This window comes from Homo sapiens, chromosome 2, assembly GCF_000001405.40.
Source record: "Homo sapiens chromosome 2, GRCh38.p14 Primary Assembly".
In the NCBI taxonomy this organism is placed as follows: domain Eukaryota; kingdom Metazoa; phylum Chordata; class Mammalia; order Primates; family Hominidae; genus Homo; species Homo sapiens.
Genome location: NC_000002.12, coordinates 26,720,720 through 26,740,525, shown reverse-complemented (window position 1 = coordinate 26,740,525; position 19,806 = coordinate 26,720,720). Strand labels below are relative to the sequence as shown.

Here is a 19,806-nt window from a genome sequence, read left to right as displayed (position 1 = left end):
AGTTGACCAGAAGCATTGATGGCCTCCCCGCTGACCCTCTCATAAAGAGGCATGGGGGACTTACACCCCCTACCGTGGCCATCAGAACAAAATGGGTGTAGGTGGGAGTGCTTAGCTCATCTGCTGGGCCGTGTGCAAAGCCTCTATGGTTTGTTTTTTCCTAAACAGCTTCTTTGAGATAAAACTGACATAAAATAAACTACACATATTTAAAATGCAGAATTTGGTAAGTTGACAGATGTATATACATGTGAAGCCATAACAGAGAGCAAATGCATCCTTCGCCCCAAACCTTCCCTTGCTCCCCTCCTGCTCCCCGCCCCCTGCCCCCTCAACTTTTTTTTTTTGAGACAGTGTCTCACTCTCATCTAGGCTGGAGTGCAGTGGCACAATCATGGCTCACTGCTGCCTAGACTTCCTGGGCTCGGGTGATCCTCCTTTCTCAGCCTCCTGAGTAGCTGGGACCATAGGTGCGTGCCACCACACCTGGCTAATTTTTTTGATTATTTAGTAGAGATTGGGTCTCACTATGTTGCCCAGCTGGTCTTGAACTCCTGGGCTCAAGGAATCCACCCGCCTCGGCCTCCCAAAGTGCTGGGATTACAGGCGTGAGCCACTGCGCCTGGCCTGCTCACCTTTTTAATCCCAGCCTCCTCCCCTGGGCCAGGGCAACTGTTCATCTGCTTTCTGCCCCTCTAGATTAGCTTCTGTTTTCCGGAACTTTAGAGTAATGGAATCCTTCCATATGTGCCCCTGTTTGTCTGACTCCTTCTGCTTTTTGTGTGTTTCAATAGCTTCTTCCTCTTCATGGCTGTATTGTATTCCTTGCCACACATATACCCGGCTAATGTATCCATTTCCCTGTGGATGGACACGCAGGCTGTTTCCAGTTTTGGCCTGTTACAGATAGAGTTTTGAAGCTGGTGCAGATAGGGGAGAGCGCTAGCCAGGGAGCCCAGAGGCCCATTCCCTCCCTCTTTTTTGTGAGACGGAGTTTCACTCTTGTCGCCCAGGCTGGAGTGCAATGGTGCATTCTTGGCTCACTACAACCCTACCTCTTGGGTTCAGGTGATTCTCCTGCCTCAGCCGCCCGAGTAGCTGGGATTACAGGCACCCGCCACCACGCCCGGCTAACTTTTTTGTATTTTTAGTAGAGACGGGGTTTCATCATGTTGGCCAGGCTGGTCTCGAACTCCTGACCTCAGGTGATCTGCCTGCCTTGGCCTCCCAGAGTGCTAGGATTATAGGCGTGAGCCACCGCGCCCGTCCTCCCTCCCCTCTTTGTCTTACTGTTCTCTTCTGAAACATGAAGCATTGGACTCACAGTTCCTAGGGGCCCTTGGCTTTAACAGTTGGCTTCCTTCATTTTTCTCTGTTAATGCTGTGCTCCTGTGACAGTGAGGGCCAATGGCAGAGGCTGGGCCTGCTCAGGACCTGGGGGTGCTGGGCTCTGCACTGCCCAAGCCTCATTCTGGAATTCAAGTGGTAAGTTTGTAGACCCTCAGCTCCGGTGAGCTTAGGCTACAGAATTTGGAGCTAGAAAGGACCTGAAGCATTGTCTGTATGGTCGCCTGACTGGGTGCATGGGTCCCCTGAAATGCGTGTTGAGGATCTGCTGGAGCCAGCCCATTGTGGCAGCAGAGCGCTGACGCTTGAATCCCATCCACCCTGGGGGGCTAGGGAAGGGTGGGGTGGGGCTGGGTTTGTCCCACCCCTACTGTCTCCACTGTCCCCTTCCCCCACCATGGCCAACTGGCCTCCCTCCCTGCCTCCCAGCAACCTCAGCAATGCCCTACTTAGACCCCGGAGAGGGGTCTGCCCATCTGTTCACCATGATAAGGCTGGAGGGGGCGGTGGCAGTGGGTTCCTATTGTGTCTGTGGCACCAGATTTGGAGATTAACTCCAAATCACTTCGGTCTCAGGAACAATGAAGTGGCTCCCCCACAGCCTGATGTCACCCCACCAACCTGCTGCTCCCTCTGGGAAGGGAGGATCAGGAAGGGATGGGCTCTGGCTTACTCTGCCTTCCAGAAGCTGCTGAAGCAGCATCTGGGATCCCCATTTGCTCAGGGGCAGGGATGAGGTTGGGGGGCACACCTGGGAAGGCAAAGAAAACAATGTGGCCCCAAGGGCCAGAGACTGTGGTGGCTGGATGGATGTGGAAGGTGGAGCCATGTGGCCTTGGATTCGAAACCTGGTTCTGCCACTTGGGTGACCTTGGATAAGTAAGGTGACCTCCCTGAGCCCCAGTCTCCTCACCTCTGGATGGGGATAATTGTACCTCCCTCTGCAGGGGTGTTGGGAGAATTGAGTAGCACTCCTAGCCCAGCTCCTCGCACATGCTTCATATCTATTGTTTGCTCCACACACCTCAGCCCCAACTGATCTAAGAGCCCTGGCCATCAAGTTTCCTGTGGCACATTTCAGTCCTTGGAGGCTGTCCTGAGTGATAAGGGACAGCCCTCTTGCTCCCTCTCTTCAAGGACAGGACAGGTGCCTGAGAGAGGAAGGGGCTCAAGTCTGAGCTGGGAACGGGCTGGGAAGGGCCATGCCCAGGTCAGGAGCTAGGGATGGGGTTTGGGCTGGGCAGAGCTTGGCTAAATGAAGAAGCCCAGATAAAGTGGTGGTGGCTGGGGGAGAAAGGGTGAAAGCTTAGTCAGGGAAGGAAGTGCCTTTTTTATTTTTATTTTTATTTTTATTTTTTTGAGACAGAGTCTCGCAGTGGCGCAATCTCGGCTTATTGCAACCTCCGCCTCCTGGGTTCAAGCGATTCTCCTGTCTCAGCCTCCTGAGTAGCTGGGATTACAGGTGCGCACCACCACTCCCTGCTAATTTTTGTATTTTTAGTACAGACAGGGTTTCACCATGTTGGTCAGGTTGGTTTCGAACTCCTGACCTCGTGATCTGCCCGCCTTGTCCTCCCAAAGTGCTGGGATTAGAGGCATGAGCCACCGCGCCCAGCCAGGAAGCACCTTCTATCTTTAGCAAGTTCAAATCTCCAGGTCACTGACATCTAGGGACTAGGAAGCTGTGCTGATGTGACTGGAGCCCAGCCACCTGCTGGCTTTGATTAAACAGATAATTTTCAAGAACAGATAAAAGGAGTGATGAGTAGCCAGAGCCAGCAACAGTTCACCAAGAACACGCCAGAATAAATGTCACCCTGAATTAAGGGTCCCTTATCTGATTCTGTCCTCTGATATTTTCATCAAAGGCTTGAGTAATGGCACAGAAGGCTATATTACCAAATTAGTGGGTGATGTGGGGCCAGGAGAGAGCAGGAAGAGATTTAATGTGGAACCAGGCTTCAACACCTGAAGCCTCATCAAAGGCCTGGAGCTGCTCAGTGGCACTAAAGTGCAGTCTGGCGCTGATATTAAAAAGGGTAACTGCTCAGCTTCGGCACAGGAGAGGCCTGGCTCAAAAGGTAACAGGCTGGGCATGGTGTCTCACACCTGCAATCCCAGCACTTTGGGAGGTGGAGGCGGGCGGATCACCTGAAGTCAGGAGTTCAAGACCAGCCTGGCCAACATGGCGAAACCCCGTCTCTACTAAAAATACAAAAATTAGCCAGGTGTGGTGGCAGGTGCTTGTGATCCCACCTACTCAGGGGGCTGAGGCAAGAGAATTGCTTGAACCCGGGAGGCGGAGGTTGCAGTGAGCTGAGATCATGCCACCGCACACCAGCCTGGGCCACAGAGTGAGACTCCATCTCAAAAAAAAAAAAAAAAAAAAGGTTAACAGACACTGATTTTTTCTCTTGTCTTGGAATTTGCCACCAGTATGCACAGCCAAGGACAAAGAGATGCTCTCAGTTCTCCCCAGCCTGGATAACTAAAAGAAAAGAAGGAGGATCCCTCTAGTTGTGGGTTGTCAGCCTCAGAGAGGAAACCTGGCAGAGTTGGAGCTGCAGGCTCCCAGGTATCACTCATAGAAACTGCAGGAAGGGGAGATGGCATCTTTTTCCCAGGTTGGATGTCTACTTTGAAATGAGCTCACTGCTCTGCTCCCAGTGCCTGTTTGAACAAGGGCAAAGAGCATGGGGAAAGGTGGCAAGGGTCTCTGGGGGCCCTCTCACTCCCATTGTCCAGCATGTATTCCATAGTCAGTAGTGGCCTGGTCACGTGTTTCCTCTTCCAGGAAACAACTGTGGGAGAGTGTTGATTTGGGGAGTCAGCCCGGTCAAAGGCATGACCTTTTCCCCAGGAACCTTGGTCTCCTCCAGCCAAAGGGCAGAGGTCATTGGCTGAACATTTTGCTGCCGTTGGTCGCGAGTCTAGGCTCTGGGCAGGGTTTGCTCAGGACATGTGGTGAAGTGGGTGAAGTGTTCCTAACTCCTGTCTCCTTTGGATGATGGGTTCTGTGAACCGTGTCCACCTGGGGGCTCCTCCACCCATGGGAAGCTGCCCAGTGAGCTGGGAGGCTGGTGAACAGCGGGACACTGCTGGCCCAGAGCTATTGTGACTGGGCTGCAGCCCTGGCCCAGCACATCCATCACCATGGAAATGCCTGTGGCTCTGCCCAGTGCTTCACATACAGGGTGAATGTGGAACAGTCCCTGCCTGCAGGACCTTGGGTCTTTCTAAACTGTAGTTTTGTAATCTGTAAAACAGGGGTGTTAATCCTCACTTAAACCACAGCGTTGTTCTTTTTGTTTTGTTTTGTTTTGTTTTTTGTTTTTGAGACAGAGTTTTGCTGTTGTCACCCAGACTAGAGTGCAATGGCGCAATCTCGGCTCACTGCAACCTCCGCCTCCTGGGTTCAAGCAATTCTCCTGCCTCAGCCTCCCAAGTAGCTGGGATTACAGGTGTCCGCCACCACGCCTGGCTAATTTTTGTATTTTTAGTAGAGATGGGGTTTCGCCATGTTGGCCAGGCTGGTCTTGAACTCCTGACCTCAGGTGATCTGCCTACCTTGGCCTCTCAAAGTGCTGGGATTATAGGTGTGAGCCACCGCACCCAGCCCCACAGTGTTGTTCTGATGATCAAATGAGAGAGTGATGTGAGAGCTCTGTAACTGCAAAATGCTGTTCATATGGATTCTCGAGGGGGTGCTGTTCACTGGCCAGAGAGGGTCACGGAGGTCAATTCCATCACAGTCCTTGCCCTAAGGGGCTGGCACCACCCACGAGGCCCTCCCCTGCAGCTGGGAGACTGAGAGGCAGGAGTGTGAGTCTCTGTGTTTGTCCAGATGTGGATGTGGTAAATTTCCAGCATCAGAGTGACTCAACCTCAGAGATTAGCAGTTTTCATCTGAAATCAGAGTCAGAGAAGGCTGGGCCCTTACTGGTGTGTGTGTGTGTGTGTGTGTGTGTGTTGGAAAGTTGGGCTATGTGGATACTAATTTTGGCTACACCATTATCTCGCTTCATGACCTTGAATATGTCACTTCCACTTCGAACCAAAATCCCTTCCTCTGAAACAGGAGCTGGAACAATTATCTGAGTGAGTGTGTGTGTGTGTGTGTGTGTATCTTTGCAACCTTTGAGAAAAAGTAATGGCTGCCGGACTCGGTGGCTCACGCCTGTAATCCTAGCACTTTAGGAGGCTGAGGCGGGCAGATTACTTGAGGTCAGGAGTTCAAGACCAGCCTGGCCAACATGGTAAAACCCTGTCTCTACTAAAAATACAAACATTAGCCGGGTGTGGTGATGGGCGCCTGTAATCCCAGCTACTTGGGAGGCTGAGACAGGAGAATTGCTTGAACCTGGGAGGTGGAGTTTGCAGTGAGCCAAGATCATGCCCCTGCACTCCAGCCTGGGCAACACAGCAAGACTCCATCTCAATAATAATAATAATAATAATAATAATAAAAGATGCTGTTGTTCCAGCATCAAGGCTCCTTCCTCACTGGGCAAGAGGAAGGTACTGAGTCCACGACAGATTGAACTTTTCAGGGGTTACCTGAGAAACAGAGTCATTCCAACTTCTTACCTGAATCCAGCTTTGGGATTGAGAGGGGGCCACAGCTTTGTGCTGCTCAATGGAAATGGTGATGTGAGCTGCAAGGGAGGGAGCTTGGCTTGGTCACTGTCGGCAGTGCCTCTTTCTTCTGCCAACTTGTCTGTCCTAAACACATCCTTCCCTGGCCCTGGACAACCCTCTCTTGCCTCTAGCTTCCTGAGATAAGTTATGGGAAGGCTACTGGGCTTGGGGGTAGGGGGAAATGCTGAGCCTGCAGAAAGAGCTAAATGTGGGAATGTGAGGGCCTGAGGTAAAATAGGATTTCTTTTCTTTCTTTCTTTCTTTTTTTTTTTTTTTTTTTTGAGACAGAGTCTCACTCTGTCGCCCAGGCTGGAGTGCAGTGGCATGATTTCGGCTCACTGCAACCTTCGCCTCCCAGGTTCAAGTGATTCTCCTGCCTCAGCCTCCTGAGTAACTGGGATTACAGGTGCACGCCACCACACCCAGCTAATTTTTGTATTTTTGGTAGAGACAGGGTTTCTCCATGTTGGCCAGGCTGGTCTCAAACTCCTGACCTCAGGTGATCTGCCCACCTCTACCTCCCAAAGTGCTGGGATTGTAGGGGTGAGCCATCGCACCCGGCCAGAATAGGATTTCTTAGCTCCAATGGAATCTGTCATCTTTGAAGGATGACATCTTTAGATTACAGCCTCCTCTCTCACCGAGGTTCTGAATAAGAAATGACCACATCATAAATAGCTCTGAACTTCTGCCACACCTTTGCTGAAGATGTGGATCATCATGGGACAGTACACAGCAGGTGGGTAAGAGCATATGCCTCGCAGCCATCGGCCTGTGTTCAAATCCCCGCTTTGCCATCAATTCACTGCCTGATATTGAGCAAGCGGGCTGCTTTGAGCCTTGGTCGAATCTGGCACGCAATTGAGAATAACATATGTATTTTATATTGTTGTAGTCTTCACTTATAGAAGGACTTGCAAGCTAAACTTCTTTTATAATTTAGTGTGGGGTGAGGAGGAAGGATCAGCCTTCTCTCTTCATCAGTGAGATTTCGATGGATCAGCATTTCCCAAAGCATGTGCTGTGACATACAGGGCTCGGAGAGATGTCGTGCAAACAGAGGCTCTGGTATTTGGAATGAGTTTGGGCAGTGCTGGATTAAGCAGGGGTAAACAGCATCTTTGCTGCAAGACTTTTCATAACCTTTATTAAGCTAAGATGCCTTGCGAAGCTCCATGAGTCGGTGATATTGACAGCATTTTCCCAAATTCATTTGACCAACGAACCATTTTTTCCACGAGGCATACCATGGGACACGTTTTGAAAAGAATTGTCGTTACATCCCTCTTTCTCTCTTGGCCCCCGGAAACTTCTATTTCCATCTGATGCTCACCCCGAGTAACCAAATCAGCGGGGATCTGGGTATATTTATACCCCACCTCCACTCTGCTGTGCTGGTTTTCTATTTTTGTTTTGCTGTACATATATCTTTTAGTGCAGGATGCCTCAGATGCTGTGTGGAAATGAGGGGGGTGGGGATGGCATCATCTGGAGAGAAGGAGCCCACGCTAGAACCTCAGGCAATTCTGAGATCTTAGGAGATGTGAGCAGGGACATGGGTGCAGTTCACCACTGCTCTGCCCAGCTGTCACAATGCTGATCACCCCTAGGGAGATGGGGATAAATGCAGCCCCTTAGGGGACTTCTCCCAGGTCTGTTTGTAAAGTCTGTCCCAGGCGATAAAGAAAGGAGGGCAAGTGTCATCACATTTATGTCCTGCAAGCACTGCTTAAGAAAATAAGAGTCACCTTGAACTGGTCATTGCCAACCTCAAAAACAAGCTAATTTCTGCTATTGTTGCATTTAGCTGTTTTAAGAAAGACAGAGGCAGGTGGGACAGGGCAGTAAGCCTCAGATTTTGATGTGGTGGCCTTAGGAGTGGGTGAGTCAATGGCAACTAAGCCCCCTGAGGGCTGCAGGCCAACAAGGAGCTGCCAGGAGTGCTGTCACAGGAGGGCTGGCTGTGTCCTGCCTCTGGGGGCAGGGAGTGCAGGTGCCATCATTTCTTCCTTTGAACTCTGAACCCCCCATCAAAGCTTCCCTCTCTGTATCTTTCAGTTGACCTATGCGGGTAACGAGGGGCGGTGTGGGCACTGGGAGAAAGTGTCCCTACTCCCACTCTCTTTATTTCTCCAGTATATTTCAATCTGCAGGTATTAAACCATTAGCAGGTAGAGACATCAATTTAGTGGATCGTGACCAGCATTTTATAACATGCAATAGAACAGAACGTATTAGAATCATTGGCTGTAGCAGGGTTGCTAAGAATTATTTTGTGAAAGGTAGGCAGATAGATAGGCATGGAGCTAGATAGGTACAGAGCTGTGTGCTATTACTGTGGATTGTACTCTATGAAGTCCGGGGGTCGCTGTAGCTGACCTGGGGAGCTGGCACCAGATGGATAAGGTGGGTCTGCTCTCACGGTCTGTCGTAGGTTCTGAGGCCCAGTCCCAAGCCTGAGCTGTCCCTCTAGACCCAGAGAAAAATCTACCCCAAAGAAAGGTGCTTGTGATGCACTCTCCTTCAAAGACATATGTTTTAGTCAATCAGGCCACTCAGCCAGGGGGCCCCTACTGCAGGAGAAGGAATCCATTCTCCTGGCTGACTGGGAGGTACCACTGTCAGCTGGGGTGTGTCCAGGCGGACTGTGCAGTCTGTGTGAGGATGGGGAGCACTGGAATAGCAATCCCCAGTCCTAGTTCCTAGCCTAGGTCTGCCACTCACTGCTGTGTGACTCAGGCAGGCGATTTGCTCTCTGTGGGCCTCAGTTACTCATGTACGGGGGGGACAATAGGACCAGGTGATTTCTAAGGTGATCCTTTCTTAGTCTGTTCCAAGGGGACTTAAGAAAATCTGGATCTTCTGGGAAATCCCAAAAGGGAAGCCAGTGTCGCCCACAGGCCAGCGAGCCCATGGCGAGTCAGCTAGGTATGTTATTTTATTTTATTATTATTGTTTTTTTTTAGACAGGGTCTCACTCTGTCGCTCAGGCTGGAGTGCAGTGGCACGATCTCAGCTCACTGCAACCTCCGCCTCCCGGGTTCAAGCGATTCTCGTGCGTCAGCCTCCTGAGTAGCCGAGTAGCTGGGACTACAGACATGCGCCACCACGCTCAGCTAATTTTTGTATTTTTAGTAGAGACGGGGTTTTACCATGTTGGCCAGGCTGGTCTTGAACTTCTGACCTCAGGTGATCTGCCCGCCTAGTGCTGTGACTATAGGTGTGAGCCACGGCACCCAGCAGCTAGATATGTTTGTAGACCCCGGCAGGGGAGGGGGTGGGAGATGGCCCCTCCCTGGCAGCAGCAAGGGCATACGATGACAGAGGCAGCTGGAGCCTGAGCCTGGTCTCCGTGGATAGCATTTATTGGGCGCCATTCTCAGTGTGAAGACAGATAGGCAGGAAGAGCTGAGGGAGGCTGTGGCAGCCACGACCTTTGGAGTCCGGGGGCTGCCCGGGGTGGGGGTGTGGTCGTGAGGGCATGGTCACCCACACATATTGCATATTCTGTGGCAGTGTGCCCAGGCATAAGGCATTGGGGAAGCAGAGAGGCTGCCTGCAGTGAAAGGGAGTGAGGGGGAAGCAACACTGGCCTTCCAGGTCCCTAGGAAAGACCCAGCAGAGACTGAACAGTCTGCCACGCTGTGCCCCACGGCCATTCTGCACCCTTCCCCACCTTCTCTCCGCAGCTTTGGTTGTGGCTCCCTCGGGACTGACAGGACAGGACCCTTCGAGGGCAGGGTCACACACAGGACAGAGGCAGCCAGCACTGCCCCCCCACCCCCAACATAAACACAGAGGGCACCTTCAGGTCCCACGTGCAGCCAGTTCCTCCACACTGAGACGGGACTCACAAGCAGGGTAGACTTCTTCCCCCCAGGGGTCCCCAGAGACTAGAGGACACAGCTGGGGTGGGGCCTGAGGCTGGCCACCCTACGGGTGCTGCCCTCCAATTTCCCTGAATGCCAGGGCTGGCCTTGGTCGGCAGTGTTAAGGAGCTGGCAGGGGAACAGCATGGGAAGGCAGTGTTGCGGGAGGAGAGGCCCCTCATCCACCCCTTGATGTTGTCCCAGTCATTATACCGGCTCCAGCTGTGGGGCCCCAAAAGTGAGCCTCAAGCATCACCTTCGTCAGCTGCGTTCCATCTGGGCTTCTGGGTTGCAGGTGTGGTGGGCAGAGGGCACCTCTGGTCCAAACTCCCCCACCTGGGAAGGGTGTTTCTTGCTGCAGCCTCAGCTTATCACTAGCTACTTGGGACACAGGCACCAACAATGACAATGGTGCCAGGTGTGATGTCCCATAGGATATGCCTGCCAGCTTTCTTGGCCACTCTGCCCAATTCCCAAATTCCTAGAGCCCCAGATCCTGGCCTTTCTGCCATGAGACCCAGCCCTGCTTACCTCGGTCCCAAGAACTGCACTGTTTGTAAGCATGCGCCCCAGTGACAAAGGCCCCTGTGCAGCCTCAGGGGCCCATTCAGAGCTGCTGCCTCCTGGCCAAGAAGAGAAGAGGCTGAACCTCAGCAGTGCCCTCTGATCCGGGACTTCTGATTCTGGTTTAAAACCCAGGTAGCCACACAATGCCAGGATGTACACTGCAGGAGCTTTGCTTTTAAGAGCAGGCCAAGCTGGAAGGAAAGAACACTTTGGCTAGCAACAAGCAGGCTGGGCTCTTGTCTCCCTTTGCCATTTTTTTTTTTTTTTTTGAGACAGGGTCTTGCCCTGTCACCCAGGCTGGAGTACAGTGGTGCAATCAGGGCTCACTACAGCCTCGACCTCCCAGGCTCAAACAATCCTCCCACCTCAGCCTCCCAAGTCGCTGGGACTCCCAGGCACGTGCCACCACACCTGGTTAATTTTTTATTTTTTGTAGAGATGGGGTCTCACTATGTCACCTAGGCTGGTCTCAAATTCCTGGGCTCAAGCAATCCTCCAACCTCAGCCTCCAAAAGTGTTGGGAATACAGGTGTGAGCCACTGCACCCAGCCCCCACCCCTTTGCCTTTTGCTCTCTGGTCACTTCACCTGTCCAGGCCTCAGTATTCTCATCTGTAAAATGGGAGTGAGAACTCCTGCCCTGATGACCTAAGTAGGGTTTTGTGAGACTCAAAGGAATCAGTGGCCAGCATAGAGTTTTCAGAGGCTAAAAATCACTCGACAAATTTAAGAGTGGGTAATTATCAGCAATTATGGTGAGTCTGAAGTCTTCTGTTCCAGATTCTAAGGGCAGTGTCTGGAAGGCTGAAGTCCTACCTGCTATGAGAATGTGGCTGGAGGCCAGTTAGCTTGAACCTCCAGTGCGACCATTCTGCAGACTGACAGGCCGCTGCCTCCTGCCTCCCAGCTCGCCCCTCCTGCTGCCTGCCTGTCCCTCCTTCTTTCTGTCCTGCTTTCTGGGGACCAGCTTTAGGGACTGCTGGGTTTCCACTTTCTCCATAACTGCAAAGCCATGCAAAACAACACGAAGGGAGGTTGGGAGACACAGCTGGGGATGAGGAAGGGGAGTGGGGCTGAGTAGGGGTGACTTGGACATAGACACCCTGGCTTTTGGAACCAAGGGAAGGTGGGAGACCTAGCAGGACAGAGGTATAAATAGAGATGCAAACGTACACGGAACATGAAGTCCCCTCCGAAGGTGGGGGTCTGGGTACCAGCAGGGTCTCTGAGGACTGGGAGCTTCTTAGATTTTCAAAGGGAAGGGAGGCTCCCAGCTTCTGCCTTTCCTCCCTGACCCCACCAAGTTTCACATTTCTCGGAATTTGCAGGGCTCCGATGGGGGCCCCAGGGGTCCTCAGAGCCCGGCCTCCTGCCGGCTGGTGCAAGCAGGCACAGTCGGAGATGGGGGTGCTGGGGGAGAGTGGTGAGGGATGTTGTGCGGGGTCCCACTGGGCAGAAGGCAGCAGGGGCAGTCTCCTGGCCTCCCAGCAGGGGTCCCCCGCCCGCGCCCCCAGGTGCTCCAGGCCCCTCGGGGCAGTCACACGGAGCTCCTGCGCTTCATGAGGCCGCGGAAGGTGGACAGGCTGTGCAGACCCGTGGACACCGAGCTGATGGCGGAGCGTGGCGCCCCGCTGCACAGGCAGCGTCGCGAGGGCGTGTCGCTGTAGCGGCCGCCCCCTCCCGGCGACGAGTGGCTCTGCTCCACGCACGTGTCGGACGTGGAGAGGTCCCGCGGGATGATCATGGGGATGGAGTACTGCAGCTTCTCGCGGCTCTTGTACCACAGGCACGAGCACATGGACTGGAAGTGCAGCACCTCCGCGTAGACGTTGCGGAAGCCGCCGCCGCCCGCTGCCGCCGTGGATGAGGCGGTGTCCGTAGTGTGCGCGCTGCCACCCCCTCCGCCGCCGCCCGCCTGCCCGTTGCGCGTGAGCAGCGCGCGGTGCTCGGCGTCGCGCTTCTCGTCCTCGGCGTTCATGGTCATGAAGCGCAGCACCACGAGGTTGAGGAAGGCGCCGATGACCGTGAGGCCCGTAAGGATGTAGACGAAGCTGAAGGCCACGTACTGCGGCTGCGTCTGCAGGGCCTGGTCCTTCTGCAGCGCCACGTAGTCGCCGAAGCCGATGGTGGTGAGGGTGATGAAGCAGTAGTAGTAGGCCTGGAAGAAGGTCCAGTGCTCGTAGTGGGAGAAGGCGGCGGCGCCGATGCACAGCGTGCTGATGCACGAGAAGAAGCCGATGAGCACCATGTTGGCCATGGACACGTCGGCGCGCCGCATGCCCAGCCCCTTCTTGGCGCGGTGCAGCAGGTACCTCACCAAGGTGTTGATGCGCTCGCCCAGGCTCTGGAACATGACGAGCGTGAGCGGGATGCCCAGCAGCGCGTAGAACATGCAGAACACCTTGCCGCCATCCGTGCTGGGTGCCGCGTGCCCGTAGCCTGGGGGAAAGTGGGAAAGAGGAGAAAAAGCACACATTTTGGGGCTGCCCTTCCAGAAACCTTCTTCTCCCTCCCCGTTGCCCCGCCACCTCCCCCACCTTGTGGGTCTGGGTCCACAGTGATGGGCGCTCCTTATCCCCACGCACTGTGCTAGGCCCTGGCTCATGCTTTCTATTGTACTCTTGTGACACCTGCAGAAGGTATGTAGGAAGGAAGAAATAAGGAGGGATGACTTCCAAGGTCACACGGCTTGGGAGCAGAACAACCGTGTTTGAACTCGAGTCCGTTTGACCTCAATGACGGGACTGTTTTGTATGCCTAGAGAAGGGGTGGCCTGGGTGCTGCTGAGAACTTGTCTAGAGGCACAGGGAGAGTGTGAGGGCACAGGTCAGCTGGGAGAGCTGGATTCTAGTTCAGTGTCCTGGGCTGCGGGCGTGGTCCTTGTCCTCTCCATGCCTCAGTTTCCTTGACTACAAGGTGAGGTGGTTGCCCTGAATGGTTTCTGACATCCTGTGATCCAGTGTACAGGAAGGGAGACTGAGGCAGGGCTGGCTTCTTGGTGGATTCCCCGCTGCCAGCCAAAGCTTATGTGGGGTTGCTTGGCAACAAGGGCCCTTCAGTCTCCCTGGGGCAGCTGGCCCACTGTGCCACAGAAGAAAGGAGACTGCCTGCCCCTCCCTGCAAGAGCAGGATGAATGAGTGTTCCAGGGTCCCCATCAGCCTCCAACTGGAGGCCTTGGGGTCTTCCTCTGTACTTGACCTGATGTAGGATCTGTCCTCATGGGGAGGTGGTGTTACCCTTGGCAAAGCAGGAGCCCTCGGTGTCTTTCCAGGTGTGTTACTATCATCAGCCAGATAATCTCTCTGTACCCCGCCCCCACCCTGGCCCACCCTGAGCCAAGATCAGGGCAGAGGCAAATGTTCCCTCTGCACCAGCCATTCCAAAGCCTAAGTTGAGAATTCTTCCGGCTAACTGGAGGGAAAATGACCCTGGATGGGAACTCATCCCTAGTGACAGGGCCCTAGTGGCTGTGTGACCTTGGGCAAATTACTCCCACTCTCTGAACATGTTTCTTCATTTGTAAAGTGTGTTTACTGGTGCTGGCCTGCTTCTTTTATTGTTGATATATTTACTACTTTTATTAACATAATTATGATAATAAAATGACGCTGGCATTTTCTTCCATTCTAAGCCTTATCAAATCTTAACCAAATGTTTCTTCTTCCATGCAGTCCTCCTGGATTCCTCACAGCTTATGATCTCTGCCTTATTTGAGTGGCACTGAAAATGTTCAGCTTGTAATTCCAGGGCCAATATTACCACCACCCCCTGTCCTCTAGGATCCCCAACTACATAGAGCTAAACACTAGCTTTGGGGGGAAGGGGTGGCACTGATGGGTCTTGTCACTTTCCTCTCTAGCTTCTACCTCCACATTGCCAGCCATACCTATGGAGGCCCAGAATATGTTTGATAACTAAATTGCAAGGCAGGATACTGTGTGACTCTGTCCTGGACTTACTGTCTCTCTCTCTCTCTCTCTCTCTCTCTCTCTCTCTCTGTGTGTGTGTGTGTGTGTGTGTGTATGCATGATTTCTCTGAGCCTTAGTTTCCACATCTATAAAATGGGGTTAATAATACACTTGCCTCACAGGACTTTGGGGAGGAATAAGTAAGATCATGTGTGTAATGCACTTAGCCCAGAGCCTGGTACCTATCAAGTGCTCAATAATGGCTCACTGTGATTAATAATGAGTGAAGTGCCAGATTACTGTCATGTTTCCAAGAGAGCAGCCAGGCTTGAGGGCAGCTCAGTTCCAGTAAAGCTGGCACCTCTGTCAACCCAGGGCCATTTGGATCTTAAAGCTCAAGGAGCTCTGGGGACAGCTGCTTGGGGCTGCCCTTAGAACCAGCTCCCCTGACCCCCTCCACAGCGTCGGGCCAGTAACTGTGTCACCATTTGCTAGGGACCTGGACAGCTGAGCTGTAGAGCCACTGTGCTTAGGACGTCTGTGCTCCAGTAGGGTGAGAACAGATTGTGCCCGCCAGCTGGGCCATGGCAGCCAGACCACAACTCACCTCGACAACTGGGCAGGCCCTGAGCCAGAGCTGCTTCTCATCCCGTCCTTCCCTGTCCTCCAGGCCGGCACTACTTGGTGGAGAGGGGAGGGCATGGCACCATGGATGGGGCTCAACAGGAAGTAGGGAGCATGGACATAGCCCCAGCTTGGCCACGTGATAGCTGTGTGACCTTGGACAAATCCCTACCCCTCTCTGGGCTCACTTGTCTTTCCTACACTCTGGAAGATTGAGCTAGAGCTATTAACCCCCACCCTCGCTGCCCGCCAGAGCCCTCTGCAGGAGCACAGGAGAGACTGGGCGTTAGAGCTCTTTGGAAGCTGTAGCTTGCGAGATGGAAGCAGTGGTCGTGGGATCTCACAGGGGAAGGGTGACCTGAGAGCATGGGCCTGGGGGCAGGGCCATCTCTGTGGGGTCAGGCAGACACATACCACCATCAGGGGCCCTCACCCCCTCTCTGCCACCACTGCTCCCTTGTCCTGTGTTTGTCATAGGCCGTGACTTCCCTGGGCCCACCGTCTCTTAGGAAAAGCCAGTGCCCCCTGTCTGGCAGCCTCACTGCCCACTGTGACTGTGCTCACAAAGCGCCCAGCTTCAAGGAGCCACACATCCCTTCCTTGCCCTTCTTTTGCTATACCCTGCGGCCACCCCAGAGACCCGTCCTTAGCCCACACCCAGCCAAGCCGGCCCCTCCTCTCCACAGTGCTTCCCACACTGCCTCGTGGCCCTCCTTCGCCTCTCCTACCCCAGCCCACAAAGACCTAGCTCCTCAGGACCCAGCTTCAGCTGCAAGTGACAACCCCTTCCTCTGCCCTTCATCCTGTTGAACTTAGTGACTTTCAAAGCAAATGACACATCCAGGCTTAACCAGAGGCTCTTATCCCAGGCAGCACCTCATGCTCCACCACAGCCACTGCCCTGTCCAGGCAGCCCTGGCCTAGATGTGCCTCCTCTTTGGGGTCACATGCCCCCAGGGCTCAATCTCACTTCCTACCGCAGGCTGAGGCTTAAGAATAATAAGTTCTTACCCTTCAGATGTATTTTTAACTTAATCCTCAAAAACTTCTTACAAGGTCACTATTATGATTATCTTCATATTACAGTTGGTGTCATGAAGTCCAGAGAGGCCTTGGGTGTTGGCCAAGGCCACTGGGCCTTTCTGACTCAGCATTCATTCCGGTACGTGGGAGCCAATGCATCACCCAGGAAGGGCGACCAGGCCGGGAGGCCTTGGGAGGAGAGCATTTCACTTGGGCATCAGCCTCAGGCGTTGCTCTGAGCCAGTTGCAGCAGAGGTGGTAACAGGAGGGCCATGCTCAGGCAGTCAGACGCTTCTCCAAGTATCCGGCTTAGGGTGCCCCCCACCCCATTGCCTGTCCCATTGTCACTGGGTGAAAGGGCAAGGGAGTGTGAGGACCTGCTGACGTGGGCGCCCAACTTGGAGGGGTGCCAGCTGGGTGGAGCCACTCCCAGGGGGCCCTGGAGCTTCTGGGAAGTAAGTGGGAGTTTGGCAAGACCCGTCTGCCTGCCAGCAGGCCCGCTGCCTGCCTGGTCCTTGCCCATGTCGCGCTTGGCTTTATGAGGCAGGGGGCAAAAGGTGTTCTCTATCTTCTCTCCTCTGTCCAGGCCTTCGAGTCTCTGGGTGAGGGGCTGCATCTGTCCTTCTGTGTGGCTGACTCTCTGAGGACCCTCTCTCGCAGTACCTGCTGGGCTGATCAACCAGAGCAGATGTTCTGACCGGGAGACTCTGGCCACTGCCTCTCAGAAAACTACCAGGACTATCCATACCGCCTCCTCTCCCAGCCTCCTCTCCCTGAATCCAACATAGGTTTTAAGGTTCTCAGATCCAGAAATACCCTTAGCCATCATTTGGTTCAGTCTTTACATCGTACAGATGAGGAAATGGAGGCCCAGAGAGGGAAAGCAATCTGTTCAAGGTCACACAGCTTGTGAATGCCAGAACCAGGATTATAACCCAGGATACTTGGTTCTAAAACCAATGCTCTGTCCACTGCCCTCCAGCTCAGGTATGACCAGGGCCTCTTCATTCAATCATGGCCCAGCAGCTCCTACTTGGGAGCAACTCAGCTAAGAGGTGGCCTGGGACCCTGGCTGGAGGCACAGAATCCACCTAAGGAAGCCAGGTGGCTGGACATAAAAATTAATTGTTAGTGTAAATATTTTAGGGCAGCAGGAAAACCAAGAGATCAGAGGCAAACCCTGGGCCACCTCAGTTCCTCTGTTTTCCTCCCAGAATCACCAAGGAGGTCAGAAACTGGCTGAAGCTGTCTTCCAGGGAGATGCGGGGTGGGGATGGTGGTGTGGGAGTGGGATTGGGTCTGGTCCTCCCTTTTACTGGTCTTTCTCTCCCTGTGGCTTATTTCCTTCTATTCAAAGCACAACTAGCCACTCTGAGCCCTTGGTCATGGCCTTGGCTGGACTGGGCTTGGCTGCTTGTTTCCCACTGGCCTCCTATGCCTGCTAGTCTGCTTGCTTGACCTCCTACCCTTGGCCTAGCTGGCCACAAGGCCAGGATGCTGGCCACAGCCTTGGGCAGAGGAAAGAGCATGGGGCTAGGAGGCAGGAGATCTGGGGTCTGACCTGACCCTGATCAAAGACAGCTTTGTGTCTTGGCAAGTTCCTTCTGGGCCTCAGGTTTCCTCATCTGTGACATGGAAGATAGGGCAAGAGATGAGGTTCCCAGCTTTTCCCACTGCCTTTTATTATTTTCTCTGTTCACTCACCCATTCACAGAGGCAAAATTTTGGAAGATTTTATTTATGAAGTTCGATGTGGTGATCAGTGCAGTGTGGATACTCTTTAGAGCAGGCACTGAATAAATCATTGTTAGAACCATAATTAATTTCTTTCCCCATCAAAATTAATTAAGCACACATCTGCCAGTCAGAAAGTCTGATTAGCCTGAGATAATTGACTCTTTGAGATGGAGTTAAGTTATTGTTGTATGTTTGAAATACTGAACACAGGGAGAGGATCTCTGCAGTTTAGTGGAGTAGAGAAGATCACAGGCTCTGAAGCCAAACAACTTTATCTTTGGCCACACTGCTTAATCCACTGTGCCTCAGTTTTCTCGTCTGTAAAATGGGAATAATGAAGTACTCACTTCATAGACTTGGTGTGGGGACTTGATTGAGTTCATAGACTTAACATGCTTAGGACATTGAGATCAATAAATATGAATTATTAATATGAATATTTTGGGGAGCACCAAGATTTGATGATCTTTAAAGTTCCTTTCAGTGCCAACATTCTATGATCAGTGTTTACTCAAGTTATTTTTCTGAAATACCAGTTCCATGGAATGTTAACAACTGTTGGATGAGAAAAGAGTTGCTTGGCTCAATTAAATTGGGGAAATGCTGAATTTAACAGGATTCACCATCATTTGATTTGAGCCTAGGCTTTCTCAGGGCTATGTATGTGTTCATGTGCAAGGTCGATCAAGGCCAGGAAAAGGTGCCTGTCTTCCCACTTCCTTGACCGTGGAGCACTTTTCTCATAGTGCACATTACCGAGCAAGTGTTTCTGGGAGCACAGTTTGGGAAACGCTCCTGTGCAGTATCAAGAACCTCTGAGGTCCTTCCCCCAGGTCTCTGACGATATGATTCTTTGATCTCCTTCTCTGGGTGGCCCAGCCCTTCTGTAGATTAGAAACCACAGCCCTTGGCAATGCCAGCTGTGCCTGTCTCCAGGCTGACCTAGTTATCTAATGTAAATAGGCAATGGCTGGGCTAATGTTTGTCCTGAGGGAAGGTGGATGAGGGACCTGTGGCCTGAGGTGCCCAAAGGCCGTGAACTCTGGGCTGATGCCGAAGTGACCTCAGTGTGGCTTGGGCCTGGTGTGGCAGCCAGAGAGGAGTGCGGGCTTGGGGGAGACAGAGGCAGCTCTGGGGGCTGCAAGACACAGGGAGGGCCCTCAGAGGAAGGCTGGGCTCCCCTGCTGGATGGCAGAGGGCAGCTGGGCTCAGAGGGCACCCAGGGGAGGGCCCACGAGGAACCAGCTCAGGCGCCTGAGGCACAGACATGGAGCCGCCCCTCAGTTGTGGGGATGGCAGCAGTGTGGAACCAGGAAGTGGGACTGCAGGCTCTGAGGGAGCCTAATTGGCATGTTAAAGGAGATGAGGCGGAAGGAGCCTAGCTTCTGTGCCCAGGTCTTGGGGGAGGAGAGGAGGGAGGGGCTGCAGCTTGGTGGAGACGGGAGGAGGGCGCAGGTGCTCTCCCTCCTCCTGTGAGATGCAGCTCAGACACTGCCTTTCCCGAGAACCTTCTGGGAACCTTCTCTGGGCACTGAAGAGGCCTCTCCTCCCTCTGCCCCTCTCAGGCCCCCACCCTGTATTTGGGCACTCATGTCCACAGAGGAGTCCTGCAGGGCTGGCTTGTCCCCTCAGTGTCCAGCACAGGCCTGGGGTGGGAGGGCTGCAGAACCCAGAGGCTCCAGTTCTGAAGGACTCTGAGGTCTGGGATGGTGATGAGAAACCACCCCTTAGACATCCAGGATGGGGACGGGAGGTGGCCCTTGGCAGGAGGGCCTCGGGTGACTCATAGCTCCTGCCTTCACTGTGGCCTCTGGCCCCTTCAAAATGAGGTCAGCTTCAAGGTTCAGAAGGAATCCCCCCTGCACTGGGCCTGGGCAAGCCCCTAGCTAGGCCTGGGAACCACCGGGTCTCATGGAGCTGGGGTAGGGGTGGGACCAATGTACAGAATGGGATCTGGAGTTTGTCCCTCTTCAGGCCAGAGCTCCTGGGAAGGACAGCTCTGAAGCACAGCACCTATCCGCTTCTTCTGCCCTGCCCCTTCCCGAGGCCTCTCTTCCCATTGTCCCATCTCCTCTCCCAGCTCTTCCCCCCA

The 19,806-nt window shown here is 53.5% G+C and overlaps 1 protein-coding gene across 2 annotated transcripts in view, besides 3 other annotated features; it reads right to left on the bottom strand.

The window, feature by feature from the left end:
• Window positions 1,591-2,091: an enhancer, noted in NCBI's record as "H3K27ac hESC enhancer chr2:26961303-26961803 (GRCh37/hg19 assembly coordinates)". NCBI's record gives its function as "activates a minimal SCP1, AML or CMV promoter by ChIP-STARR-seq in naive H9 embryonic stem cells {active_cell/tissue: H9 hESC(naive)}" and the evidence as "EXISTENCE:reporter gene assay evidence [ECO:0000049][PMID:30033119]".
• Window positions 2,092-2,592: an enhancer, noted in NCBI's record as "H3K27ac hESC enhancer chr2:26960802-26961302 (GRCh37/hg19 assembly coordinates)". NCBI's record gives its function as "activates a minimal SCP1, AML or CMV promoter by ChIP-STARR-seq in naive H9 embryonic stem cells {active_cell/tissue: H9 hESC(naive)}" and the evidence as "EXISTENCE:reporter gene assay evidence [ECO:0000049][PMID:30033119]".
• Window positions 7,106-19,806, bottom strand: part of KCNK3 (potassium two pore domain channel subfamily K member 3) — a 40,699-nt gene continuing 27,998 nt past the window's right edge. The window contains exons 1-2 of one of the 2 annotated variants that reach the window (XM_005264293.3): window positions 15,966-19,417; window positions 7,106-12,859 (exon numbers count right to left, since the gene is read on the bottom strand). In XM_005264293.3, coding sequence (XP_005264350.1) covers window positions 11,958-12,812 — 855 coding nt within the window. In that variant the 5' untranslated portion in view covers window positions 12,813-12,859; window positions 15,966-19,417 and the 3' untranslated portion in view covers window positions 7,106-11,957. Of the gene's footprint in view, window positions 12,860-15,965; window positions 19,418-19,806 lie in introns of those variants that run through there. The other variant, NM_002246.3, reaches the window with a different exon arrangement.
• Window positions 15,715-16,914: an enhancer, noted in NCBI's record as "P300/CBP strongly-dependent group 1 enhancer chr2:26946480-26947679 (GRCh37/hg19 assembly coordinates)". NCBI's record gives its function as "activates an origin of replication core promoter dependent on BRD2, BRD4, P300/CBP, MED14 and CDK7 cofactors, with strong dependence on P300/CBP, by STARR-seq in HCT116 cells {active_cell/tissue: HCT116}" and the evidence as "EXISTENCE:reporter gene assay evidence [ECO:0000049][PMID:35650434]".